This window comes from Homo sapiens, chromosome 6 (assembly GCF_000001405.40).
Source record: "Homo sapiens chromosome 6, GRCh38.p14 Primary Assembly".
NCBI lineage: Eukaryota > Metazoa > Chordata > Mammalia > Primates > Hominidae > Homo > Homo sapiens.
The window spans coordinates 161,125,138-161,138,601 of NC_000006.12; the positions used below are offsets into that span (position 1 = coordinate 161,125,138).

The 13,464-nt window shown below is 46.4% G+C and overlaps 1 protein-coding gene across 1 annotated transcript in view, besides 2 other annotated features; it reads right to left on the minus strand.

Moving 5' to 3' along the window:
* Positions 3,092 to 4,291: an enhancer, noted in NCBI's record as "BRD4-independent group 4 enhancer chr6:161549261-161550460 (GRCh37/hg19 assembly coordinates)". NCBI's record gives its function as "activates an origin of replication core promoter dependent on BRD2, P300/CBP, MED14 and CDK7 cofactors, and independent of BRD4, by STARR-seq in HCT116 cells {active_cell/tissue: HCT116}" and the evidence as "EXISTENCE:reporter gene assay evidence [ECO:0000049][PMID:35650434]".
* Positions 4,830 to 13,464, minus strand: part of AGPAT4 (1-acylglycerol-3-phosphate O-acyltransferase 4) — a 144,095-nt gene continuing 135,460 nt past the window's right edge. The window contains exon 9 of the mRNA NM_020133.3: positions 4,830 to 11,497. Coding sequence (NP_064518.1) covers positions 11,403 to 11,497 — 95 coding nt within the window. The 3' untranslated portion in view covers positions 4,830 to 11,402. The remainder of the gene's footprint in view (positions 11,498 to 13,464) is intronic.
* Positions 6,740 to 7,034: a silencer, noted in NCBI's record as "tiled region #15502; K562 Repressive non-DNase unmatched - State 17:Gen3'". NCBI's record gives its function as "represses a minimal TATA promoter and a strong SV40 promoter by Sharpr-MPRA in K562 cells {active_cell/tissue: K562}" and the evidence as "EXISTENCE:reporter gene assay evidence [ECO:0000049][PMID:27701403]".

Sequence of the window (13,464 nt, forward strand, 5' to 3'; positions counted from 1 at the left end):
TTTGTCTCATATAAGAATAGCTACTCCTGCTTGCTTTTGATGTCCATTTGCATGGAATGTCTTTTTTCACTCCTTTACCTTAAGTTTATGTGAGTCTTTATGTGTGAGGTGGGTCTTTTGAAGACAGCAGATACTTGGTGAATTTTTAGCCATTCTGCCATTATGTATCTTTTACTGGAGCATTTAGGCCATTTACATTCAATGTTAGTATTGGCCTTAGAGGTACTGTTCTATTCATTGTGCTGTTTGTTGCCTGAATCCCTTTTTTTTTTTCATTGTTTTGTTTTATAGGTCCTGTGAGATTCCTGCTTTAAAGAGGTTCTGTTTTGATGTGTTTCTAGGATTTGTTTCAAGATTTAGAGCTCCTTTTAGCAGTTCCTGTAGTACTAGCTTGGTAGTGGCAAATTCAGCATTTGTTTGTCTGAAAAAGACTATCTTTCCTTCATACGTGATGTTTAGTTTTCCTGGATACAAAATTCTTGGCTGATAATTGTTTTGTTTAAGAGGGTAAAGATAAGACCCTAGTCCCATCCAGCTTGTAGGGTTTCTGCTGAGAAATCTGCTGTTAATCTGATAGGTTTTCCTTTATAGGTTACCTAATGCTTTTGCCTTACAGCTCTTAAGAGTCTTTCCTTCATCTTGACATTAAACAGATGACTGTGTTCCTAGGCAGTGATCTTCTTGTGATAAATTTCCCAGGCGTTCTTTGAGCTTCTTTATTTGGATGTCTAGATCTCTAGCAAGGCTCAGGAAGTTTTCCTTGATTATTCCCTCAAATATGTTTTTCAAACTTTTAGATTTCTTCTTTAGGAACACCAGTTATTCTTAGGTTTGATCGTTTAACATAATCCCAAACTTCTTGGAGGCATTGTTTTTAATTATTTTTTTCTTTGTCAGACTGGGTTAATTTGAAAGCCTTGTCTTCAAGCTCTGATGTTCTTTCTTCTACTTGTTTGATTCTGTTGTTGAGACTTTCCAGTGCATTTTGCAATTCTCCAAGTGTGTCCTTTATTTCCAGAAGTTGTGATTGTTTTTTATTTAGGCTGTTTCAGTGGAGATTTTTCCATTCATATCCTACATAATTTTATTTCTTTAAGTTGGACTTCACCTTTCTCTGGTTCCTCCTCGATTTAACAGTCGACCTTCTGAATTTTTTTCTGGCAATTCAGAGATTTTGTCTTGATTTGGATTCATTGCTAGTGAGCTTGTGTGATCTTTTGAGGGTGTTAAAGAACCTTGTTTTGTCATATCACCAGAATTGTTTTTCTAGTTCCCTCTCAATTGAATAGACTATGTCAGAGAGATCTTGGACTCAAGGGCTGCTATTCAGATTCCTTTGTCCCACGGGGTGCTCCCTTGATGTGGTGGTCTCCCCTTTCCCCTAGGGATGGGGCTTCCTGAGAGTTGAACCGCAGTGATTTTTCTCTTCTGGATCTAGCCACCCACCGGAGCTACCGGGCTCTGGGCTGGTCCAGGGGAGTGTCTGCAAAGAGTCTTGTGATGTGATCTGTCTTCATGTCTCTCAGCCATGGATACCAGCACCTGCTCTGGTGGAGACATCAGGGGAATGAAGTGGACTCTGTGAGGGTCCTTGGTTTTATTTTTGTTAAGTGAGCTTGCTTTGTGTTGGTTGGCCTCCAGCCAGGAGGTGGTGCTTTCAAAAGCGTATCAGCTGTGGTGGTATGGGGCGGATGAAAAGCGTATCAGCTGTGGTGGTATGGGGCGGATGAGGCGGTGGGCAGGGCCTTAGAGCTCCCAAGACATTATATGTTCTTTGTCTTCAGCTGCGAGGGCGGGTAGAGAAAGATCATCAGGTGGAGGCAGGGTTAAGCATGTCTGAGCTCAGCCTCTCCTGGGCAGGGCTTGGTGTGGCTGCTATGGGGGACAGGGGTGTGGTTCCCAGGCCAATGGAGTTATGTTCCGAAGGGGATTGTGGCTGCCTCTGCTGTGTCACACAGGTCACCCAGGAAGCAGGGGAAAGCCGGCAGTTGCTGGCCTTACCCAGGTCCCAAAAGGCCGGTCTCATTCCCACCATGTCCCCTACAAAAGCAGGGAGTTTACTCCCAGGCAGCCAGTGAGCAGGCCTGAGAACTTGCTCCAGGCTACAAGGCTCCCAGCTGAGAAAGCTAGCACTCACAGTTCATCCGTCGGCTGCCCGCAGAGCCTGCAGCGGCAATCCATCTCCTTCATAGGGTCTGTGAATTCTCTTCGTTTTCCTGGTATGTGTAGTTCTTGGAGCAAAAGTTTATCATATGAGTCTCCACACACTGCTCTGTCCATCTGAGAGGGAGCTGCAAGTTAGTCCTGCCTCCCATCTGCCATTTGCCCTCCCCAGACTTTCTCCTCTAGTTAGTTTCAGTAATTTAAGTCTGTAGGAATTTGTCCATTTTAGCTGAGTTGTCTAATTTGTTGACATACAATTGTTCATGGTATTCCCTAATAATACTTATAATTTTTCTAAGGCTGGTAGTGATGTCTGCTTTTGTGCTTGCTTTCTTGGCTAATAATCAATTTTGTTGGCCTTTTCAAAGAATCAAATTCTGATTTCATTAATACTCTCTCTTGTTTTGCTGGTTTCCATTTTTTTTCCATACTAATCTTTATTCTTTCCTTCTGTATACTTTGGGTTTAATTTACTCATCTTTTTAAAAGTTTCTTGAGACAGACTGTGGTCAAGACAAAAATGATGGTAAAAATAATCTTCCAGAGCATTTTTAAAAATAGTTTGTAAATAGAGCTTATATCTCAAACACATTCTAAAGGTGGTGTCTCAATAAGAAAAAAAAAGTAATAATATAAAATCAAGGAGTAGCTTTTTTTTCCCTTCTACATATCAGCCTCAGTCTGCTGGGATTATATTCCTTAGCACAGGGTTGGCGGCCCTTTCCAGGAGAGGGCCAGAGAGTGAATATTTTGGTCTTGTGGTCCATACAGTCTTGGTCACAACACCTCAGCTCTGCTGTTGGGCACGAAAGCAGCCATAGATCATGTGCAGGTGAATAGATGTGGCTGTGCCCAGCAAAACTTTATTTCCAAAGCAAGCTGCAGGCCAGGTGGGGCTGCAGCCAGAATCAGCCAACCCCTGCTCTAGAACACTAAACAAAATTAAGAAACAGTGCATTCTTCTTAGTCTAGCAGAGTTTATATACAAGAGTATCCTCTTTCAGAAGCAATCCCCTCTGGGAGCTGGATGTATAATGCTACCTTGTTTTCTATACTGCAGTAAAAAGGTGGACTACACTCTGCTCAGGTGTGGTGGCTGAGATAACAAGACTGGTTTCCTGGGCTTATACAGGATACTGAAGGCAGCTCTAAAGCAGGGCTTTCAAAGGCATGTTGTGTGGTGACACGGGAAATGAGGTGTCATCTCCCAGGGCACAGCAGCCATGAAGATCCGTGGACATTCCTTTATGTTTACAGACTCTGTTTAGGTTTTAAAAGCTTTTACAAAAATCCAAAATGGCCAAGAAGAGTTTCAGCTTGCTGTTGAAGACTGCATTTCCACCTATGGGAGTATGAGTCTGTCCTTTGAAGCTTGCTCTTTTTTTTCCTGTTAAAAGATCAGTGTATTTTCCCAGAAGGGATCGGTTTGTTATTGGCCATGTGATGAAGCAGGTCACTTGTTAGTGTGGTGTCTGAGGTCATGGCGAGTCACAGATTTAACACTGTGATGGAAATTCCCATGACGTGCGCTGCTTGAAATGTCTGTCACGTCATCCATCCCTGTAACCTAACAGCCTCGCAAATTCCCAGCCTCCCCTGAATTAACAGAAGGGTCACAGGCTTTCCACTCTGGGGCGAGTCCTCTGGTAACCTGCTCTAGTGTTCTAGCATTTTGTCAAGTCGCTTTTTCTCTTCTTGAGACAGCTATTGTCAGCCGTAGGAGCACAGTTCTTTTCATGTATCGTTAGGTGCTTTGTTCCTAGTCTGTTGGAATCATTCCTGTTGCAGAGTGACTTACCGCAGACACATGTGCAACTTCAGTGGTTTTCTAACCACCTTCATTTTCATGTCATCTGTCCTCCTCAAAGTTGACGGGGTTGCTTTGTCACACAACTCCAGGATATACTGTTTCTATTGCATTTTATCCTTTACTCACAGTCTTCCTCCATTGCCTCTGCTTCCACTTCAGAGTTAATTACTGTAAAATATTTTTTTGTTTTGGGCTGAAATCAGCCTCATCATACTGCTTGTTCATGCTGTCTATACTTGACTATTCCTGTACGTATTTGAATATCGCTGTCTCCCCTCACTGTAAGTCATTCATCTCTGCTTCCCAAGTTAATAGTTTTCTAAAACTGTCTTGGCTTTCCCAGGCCTCGCTTCAGTTTGTCGATACGTTTTTAGAGAGTGTCAGAACCGACGGTTGCTGTAGGTGTTCTGACAGTAGCAAGAGCGCTGCATTCTGTGCCGTGGATTTACACTAATCTTCATGCAACAAAACAGACATCCCTGCCCTCATGGAGTATATAGTCCATAATCAGGGAGACAGACAGATCTTGCATAGGTAGTTAAATGTGAGACATGTCCCCACCCTGGCCCCACCCCCAGCGTTTTCTCTCATCCTGGTAAGAGATGATGGGGAATTGGCCTAGAGAGGGAAGTTCAGGCAAAGGCTCTGAGGAATGCAGTCATAAGGAGGGAGAAAGAGAATGAAGCCTGGGGAGAGGGGCGGGGAGAGCATGGCATCATGGTAAAGCTGGAAGAGGCGGGGCAGTGGGGCAAAGGGCTAGAATGGCCCAGACCAGGCAAGGGAGGTAGCAGGGGTCCACTGCAGGACCATTCCACTTTCCTTGCAGATACTGGGTGAGGCAGTGTAGAGACGTGCATTTTTCCAAGTTAAAGTTTCAGTCAGTTTTATTACATCCAGTCCAGTAAGCTGTGCTGTCTAGTGGTATCCACACATACTTTATTAGTTTTATCTTTGTTCAGCCCACCAACAAAAATTTGGAAAGATTGCTACACATGACAGAGCGACAGTACCCTAGGGTGACATGACAGCCCATATATCAGTTCTCTGTTTCACATTAAAAAGTTACCATTCATTCGGTCCAAACATCCACCCAATCCACACGTTCTCTCAAAGACTAGCATGGTTCTGTCCAATACCTTGCTCTAATTCCAATTCATTCGTTCTCATAACTTATTTGAAAAGGCACATTTGGTCAGTCTGATGTCATTCTTAGGGCATCTTTGCTCTCTCCTGGCCATTACTGCTTGCTTTTATGTACTGAAAAGTCATCCATTGAATGGTCTGTTCCTGAATGTCGCCACAAAGCAGTCTGTAAAACCCACTCGCTTTCCCTCCTTAAATTACCTCCCTCCAGGTCTGTTTCCTCAAAGATCATCCCTTAGTGGGTCACAGTAATCATGAACCCTGGGTACAATTGATACAGGCTGAGAAGTAAGAATTCACTGTTCACTTAGAGCAACTCATTCCCTGACCTGAACCGGGTGTGTTCCACCCTTGCCCATGGTTAGATCTCTTTCCTTGATAGAACAAGCAAAAGAGGGGCTGATCCATCTCCCGTGAACATCTGTTGACTGTGGGCGGCCTGGGCCAGCCTTGCTGTGTTTGCCTCAGATGCGAGTAAGGAAGCTCCAGTTGTAGCCTTGGCACAGCTGAGGCCATGCCATTGCTACCCGGAAGCTGGCTCTGCAGCGTTGTGACTTAGACACTTTACAAGTCTGAGCCATCCCGTACTAGTTCATCAACTTTCCTTCCTCATGATCTGCAAAGATACAGAGAGAATGGCATTCCAAAATTCCATGGATGACTTTTCTGAATGTCCTAGAATGTTTGGCAAAGATCTGGCTAAAACTAGTACTATGGAATAGAAAAGGAAAAGTGACATTTGTGTAATTTATTTTGGAAATGCAAAGGAATTATTATGCAGCAATCTTAACTTTGTGTACATACCACTCACCTCCCTTAAAATTCAGCAGAACCAGAGGTGCCAGAAATGTCAAAAAATATCTAGTCATTCCAATATGTAAAACAAGACTGCCTTGTTTTAAAAAAACAAATTAAATGTAAAAATTGTATGACTCTTACCCAGTGAAAAGCTTTACTAACACAGCCCTGGGTGCTATTTCCAGATACTGAAAAGATCTAAGTAGGTGCTTAAGAACTGCTTTTTAACCCATTCACAACCTTCATATTAAACTAGGATGAGGCTGCAGGAGCTGAGGAAGGAAGGCCTGGGTGGGAACCTGGATGTCCTTTCCTGGAGAACAGCTTTGCTATTTCACTGGTAACTCCGAAACTTCAAAATATTGACTGTACAAATTACTCAAGTTTATTTTGGCCTAATTATTCTTAAGAAAGGTGGTTCTTTTTTAGAAAAGGGAAGCAGAAGCTAATTGAAATTCCATTACTCAGGCCTCTAGTAAGTGCCCCCTTCATGTAGTCACTATTCACTGAGGGCCATGAGGGTGAGGCCCTGCTGGGGGGGCAGGGCAGGGCTGTGAGCTCAGGAGCCCATCCCTGTGCTCAGAGAGATGGGACTCCAATGAGGAGACACACTATGTAGGTGCAATTTCTGATTTCTTAGTTTTTGACCAAAATAGCAGTAATTTCAAACAGTTGAATGTCGTGATCGATACTATGTCAGTTGGTGATGAATGCTGTGAATGGTATTGAATGTCCTGGACCAAGAGGAACAGCAACATGTCCTTAGTCCTCAGCCTAAGAAGTCCATCGAGTCCTTCTCTCAAATTGTACGTCTGTTGTTTTCAAAAGCCATTGTGACAGGTCAAAACCCTGGAGTATTTGGTTTGTGTTTAAATGTACTTGACACTCTGGAAACACTCAACCTAAGCCCTGGATGCAGGAGGCAGGGATGCTGAGGATGTGAATTAGAGTGCTGGGATGTGCTAATGCCTAGGGAGGCATCAGGCACTGTGCTGGCTTGGGGGATCCTGTGATGACTGGAACCTGGGCCTTCATTACGGGCTCCGGTTTTGGAGTGCAGAGGGATTGGCATTTGTAAAGACTGCTTGCTTACCCTTTGTCTGGCATGCACATTCAGGATGTGACTTCAGCTTCATTCATCCTGGCCAAACAAAAAAAGTTCAAAAAATTGTTTTCAATTAAATTTCTGAAGATCTTTGTAGGGAAGCACCCTTCTGAGATGAAACCAATTTCTTGTCCACACAGCCACCATATCCTTATATAGATGGGGAAAAATCCAGAAAAGGGGGATTTTCAGCAGCTGGCTTGAAGCCCCTGAATGGTCCCTTGGCAGAGGCAAAGAATGAGCCCAGAGCCTGAGATTCAAGATGCTGGTCTCTTCTGAACACACCGTGGAGCAATGTGGTGCACCTGCAGATGCCGCACTCAGCAGCCTGGAATGCCAGCTCTCATGCCCTCACCTAGAAACGCCTTCTCGGCTGAATGGCTGTTGGCTCTCAGCAGCACCTGTCAGCATAGCTCGGCCGCTTCTGCCCCGTGCCAAGGCGTGACTAGGACCAGAAGAATCAGAAAGCATGGTGGAGTCCGAAAGCATTGGCAAAGCCAGCACATCTGTGAGCATGTTACACATGGGCTTGCCTAAGTATTTCCTTCTCTGTGAACATCACTTAGGAGCTACGTCAGTTAAGGCATCGTGAGACACAGGTGTGGTGGAGGCATTATGAGGGGACTACTCCACAGGACCTTGGAGAGTTGCATTTTGGGGGGCTCTCCTAGAAGCTCTGGGGGAAGGAAGCAGTGGCCTCCTGGTCAGCTACAGACACAGGCGGGTTAGGGCCCGTCTTGCTTTCATGTTCTTTTAAACACAAATGGCAGCTCACAAATATTCCTCTAAATATTCCTCCATACAGCCTAGGGCCCCTCAAGAGACGTGCAAACCAAAGTATTTGTTTTTCTCACTTTATCTTTAACCTAGTATGTGGCAAGTCTGGACCACTGCTTTAGAGAAAGCTGGATTAAATCTCTTGAGCAGAAGTAGAGACCCTAGAGAATCTTCACTGGATACCTTGCTTCACACTTTGGTCAATATTTATGAATAAGTTCTAAAGCCTATGCGAAGCCCATTCTGTTTTGCTTGGGGACCAGCCAGACCACTCCTCCACTCCAGTGGGGCCTTTTTTGTGTCTTTCACATCACTGTTACAAGTTGTGGCTGGACAATTAATGACATTTAAATCACTGTCCCACATATGGATATATTAGAAAAACCCTAATGTTTTAAAATTTTTTTAATCATCAGCTGCTTTTACAAAGCTTTGCATGCATTTGTTTAGAGGATATTGCAGTCGAGATATTCCAGTACTACTGTGTGATCATATGAAAAAAGTTGGTTTTCTCTCTGTCAAAGTCAATAGGGTGGTAGACTAACTCACAGAGTGCCTTACTTCTTCCTCCCGATTAATCGTGTTCACTATATGGTGGCAGAATCAGTCCAGTCCCCCAGACCTCAAGCTGCATCTTCCAAATGGTTGGTGTCTTTTTAAGAGTCCCCGTGGGCTGGCTTTCCTGGAAGAAGTCCATTAAATTCCCTGCTTCTATAAGCTGCAGGAGTCGCCTAGGATATGGCCCGTCACGTCTGGGGATGACCCTGCACTGCTCTCCAGATTTCACTCAAGGTTCGTATTTTTCTCTGCCACCTTGAACTACAGAACAGGCTCTCAGTAGCGTGATAAGCTTTAAGCTAGAATGAGATGGAAAGGTGGGAAAGACAGACAGGAAGTGTAGCTCTTAGTCTATGGGGCTCTCCTTAGGGGACAAAAAGATGGCTTAGGCTCCGTGGGTTTTCAACTCGTAGAAAAAATAACCCTGGGAACCAAAGCAGTTGTTGTGTGCTGAGGAGATGGTGACCTCCGTGTGACCTGAACATGGGTGAAGGTATTTGAGGAGGCGTGATGAGCTTCCGTCCAGGAGTACCCGTGGTTGTCTGTGTCATTAAGGGCGCAGGGTGTAAGGAAACCAGGTTCCCAGGCTGCATAACAAAATTGTTCTTCGTGGACAGGTCAAATGACTGATGAGAAAGAGGTCCAGATCTCTCCCCAGCACGCCACATTCTCTTTCGGCTCTAAGGCAATTCAAAACTTGGCGCTCACTTAGTTATTTCCTAAGAGATTTCTGCCTGCATTCCTCCAGCCTGGAACCCAAGGCCCTAGCAGGCAGGCTGTTTGCTTGCTTGTGTGTTGTGTGATACCAGAGCCAATTCAGAAGAAAATTGAATGTCTGTGGGCCCCCGGATCTATGTTTTTAGAACTTACTTAGATTACTTCTGTGTTGAATGGAAGAATGAAAATGAGAAAAATAACACATTTTTAGTACGACAAGAAAATTTCTGAGCATTTTTGAGAGTAGCAACATAGAGGCAGCTTTCTAGTCTTTCATCCTTGGCTTAGTGCTTTAGGATTCTTAAAGTGTGCTCTTTTACCCTTGACACACCCCAAGAGGTAGATATCGTCACCCCCATTTTGCAGATGGGGAAATGAGTCAGCAAGGAAAAGTGTCTCACCCAAATCCTACAGCCGATGAGCTGCAGAGTTCAGGTGAATGGCGTAACTCAGCATCACGGACCCCTCCGAGAGACTGGCCCGATAATCCAGGCGCAGGTCCACTAGGGCGTGCTCACAGACACGCAAGGCTACACACCATGCACACCTCCACTTCTCCAAGGACCCCTCTTGCCTAAGGTCACGTCCTGGGCTTTTGCCCACAGATCTCTGCACACGGTGCTTCATGCCCTGTGCAGGGTGGGCAGATGTGCTGGGCGCTCCCATCAAGCCTGCCTGCAGGGCCGCCAGCGAGTTAACTCAGGCCCTAGGCTCTGCAGTACGCTCTTCCCACAAGTCAGCCAGGATTTTTTCCCTTTTTCACTTCTGTGGATTCAAATAATTCATTTGTATCAACAAACAAACAATGCATTATTGTCCTGTAAGCAGAGGGAGCTTCTCTAGAGCTGTCTTGTAACTCCTTGGCTTACCTAGTTTGGTTGATAAACAATGACTAAATGAGCAAATAGCCAAAAACATAACTGCATAGAATAGGCCTTATAATGTGTGGCCAGTTTTTGTATAGAGCTGTTCATTCCTTCTCATGTTACCACAGCAACACAGGCAGCTTTTCTCAGCAACTTTCAGCTGCGCACCTGGAGAAAGACATATCCTTCCTAACTCATGCTCCAAATACCTATCGGTCCAAGTGCCATTGGTGTCTTGGCCTAAGATGATTTAATAGCTAGCATTTGTTCTGCAAAAATAGCACTGCTTTTAGTTTCTTCTTCTTTTGCATTTTTGGCACCTGTTGGCTGACAGCAGTCTGCAAAGGCCGCTGGAGATGCTACAGGGCAGAACTATTCCGTGGAGTAAAATGGGAGCAGACAGGAGCCCGGAAGGAAGGCAGAAGCCTGGGGGTTTTTTGTACATGGGATGTCGGCTCTGATTTGACCCTCATCAGAGCAGGACCTGGCTCCTTTAGGGCTGCAGACAAGCTCTACATGCTGGGAAGGGGCGAGGCATTTTATAAAGTGAAACTGCATTTTATCAGGGGTGACTTTGGCTGTCACTGCTGAGAGGAACAGTCGATGCAAGCTCATCTCACAAATCACTGCAGAATGCCCAGGCTGTACGTTCATGATGTTTGTGTTCAATTTCAAGATCCATTTCTTCAGGGAGTTGGGTCCATCTTCAAGACTTACGCCAGGAGACTGCACTGCAGAGACCGAGCGAAACTCTCCCTTGCTGTGTGCCAGGGACACGCTTCGTTGGTCTCCACGCACGTGCTTGCCATCTCTGCTCTCACAAATGCTCACGGGCTCCTGGACCTGTGTCTCCTGCCAGGAGCTGTGCTGGCCTGCCCACCCCTCTCAGCTGCCCACACCTCCGCGGCAGCTGCCTCCCGTGAGTAGGATCTGAAACACCAAAGCCACGGGCAAGGGCAGGATGGAGGGGCAGCGGTCCATGTCAACATACACCACAGATGACCCAGAAAAGCACTTTAATTTTTTTTTCTTGGAGGCATAATTTAGTCATCTCACCTAAAGCACTTTTCACTTTATCTCTGGCAACCAAGGGTTACAGAAAACTCAGCACCAAAGGATGAAAGGGGAACTTGTCCCCTTCGGTCCCCAGCCCTGCCCTCCCCTGCAGCCTAAAATACCCTTTCTATGATCACAGAACAAAGTTCACACTCACCACACAGCCATTCTCACACACACTCGCACAAAAAGAAAACCAAAGCCCACTAAAGCACATGGGGAAAAAAAGATTACAAAACATCTTCCTCCCCATCCGGCCTTGAGACCAGACTCCCTGGCTGGAGAGGTCGTGACTTCCGCCGTGCCCAGCAGGGGCTCACCCAGCCTTTGTCACCGTGTCCCACTAAGGAGGATATGCAGAGGCCACCAGTTCCCCAAGGTTCCCTTCGGATGGTGACACCTCCCTGAGTCAGTCATTCAGTTTCTGCTTGCTGTCAGAGTTGCCGTAGGCAGAGCCCTTGTCAATTTCCGTCACACCAATCATCCATCGAACTCCCACGGAGGCTGCAGAGACAAGGAGAGCAGAGTTAGGAGTAGCCCAAACAGACTACAGGGCCGTTTTCCCACAGAGCAAGTGAGAAGGCCCGTGGCCGCAAATCACAAGCGCCAGCTCAGAGCTGGCTGGCGGGTTTGAGGTGCCATCATCCTGCCGGCTTTACAATCATCCTTGAGTGTGGACATCCATGTGACATTAAGACAAAGCAAGGCTGCTCTGGTGGGGGTTTTCCTCCTTGGACCCTGAAGGTGAATGATTTGGCAAGCCATGCACAGCCGTTCGCAGGGACTCAGAGAAATCCCTGGCTTCCTCTGCTGACCCCCAGGTAAAGAGGATTCTTTTGTGAATAAGGGACAGGAAGTTAACAGGGCATGTTCAGCGAAGTTTTATAAAGAACAGACCAGGAGCCTGGAAGACGCAAGAGCTCGAGTATCGAGTGCCCAACACGTTTCAGCACTGCTTTTGGTGCAAGCGTTAGAGCAGTGAGAAAATCCCCGCCCTCTCCTCTGACGGCAGGATTTGCCTACACCAGAGAATGGGCAGGACCCTCGTGGGAGCCCAGTTTAATATAGGAAGCTGGAAAGCAGGGCCTAATGCTCAGAAGTTGCAATTTCAACTACACCCTCTGGAGCGGGCAGATGTGGTGAGGTCCTTGGGTGCAGGGCCCAAGACTTAATCATTTGATGTGCTCAGCACTGGGCATGGGGCTTGGAAAACAGTCCATTTATAATACATGCTTAAGAATGGATAGACGAATAAGTGAATGAAATCCCCCAAATCATGATGCACAGGATTATCTAGCATTAGCATCGCGGTCGATAAACTAACTGGGACATGGATGCAAGAGCCTGGGATGGGCGAATCCAGCCCAGCCAGCAGGAGGCACGCATCTCCCATGGGTCATTTACAAACTGGAGGGCTCCTGCATGGAGCGTAACAGTAACAGTGAGAGTGGAGTTATTGTAGAGCAGAAAGAAGTGAGTAAAACGTGGACCGTGTGGCCTTGGAAGAGGAGTAAAGAACACAAACACAAAGTCCTTCAGGGAAGAATGCAGTCAGGCGCAGGCTCAGAGTAATGGGGCACGGCAGTCAGCTCCTCAGATGCTCCTGGAGACGCCGTGTCCACACTGCACCCCTCAGATGCTCCTGAAGACTCCCTGTGTCCACACTGCACCCCTCAGATGCTCCTGAAGACTCCCTGTGTCCACACTGCACCCCTCAGATGCTCCTGAAGACTCCCTGTGTCCATACTGCACCCCTCAGATGCTCCTGGAGACGCCCTGTGTCCACACTGCACCCTGGGCAGTGCTCAGGCTTCTTTTTTTGGTACTCGCTACACAGCTGGGTGGCCCTGTCTGCAGCCTTCATCCTGAAGGGGCCCCTCTCCAAGACGGCGTGGGTGTGTGTGTGCCTTGCTGTTGCCTGCTATTGAAGCAGAAGGGTTGAGCTTGCCCCCGCCCTACCAGGGGCCCTGGCACCTGCAGCTGCCCCGGACCCTTGGCCAGCCTCAGCATGGCGGGGCATGGGGGTGCCCCTGGACCTGCCTTAAGGAGATGAGGTGCTTTCTTCTCCAACCTCTTATTTTTTTCCCTTACACGGTGTGGGTGTTGTTTTAATATTTTAATTTTTAACACTAAAATACATCTTAATCTTTCAAAAGACTGTATAGTAGGGTCTATTTGAGGAACAGGAGCCAGCTTGTCTACTGCACCCATATGCTGCAGCATTGGTTGGCTCAGTCAGAATGAATGAGCTAGGTTTATGTGCTGTGACCTGTTTTGGTGGTTATGATTCATTAGGTGAAAAGGCGAGCTGAAGAAACTCCACTGATACGGGTTTATAGATGCACATATGCTTGAGACTGGAACCACCACGTGCATCAAATTGTCATTAACGATTATCTGGGAAGTGGGCTCAATGGGAATGGTCTCCTGACACACTTTCCATTTTCTGCGCTTGTCTATTGCTTGGGCCT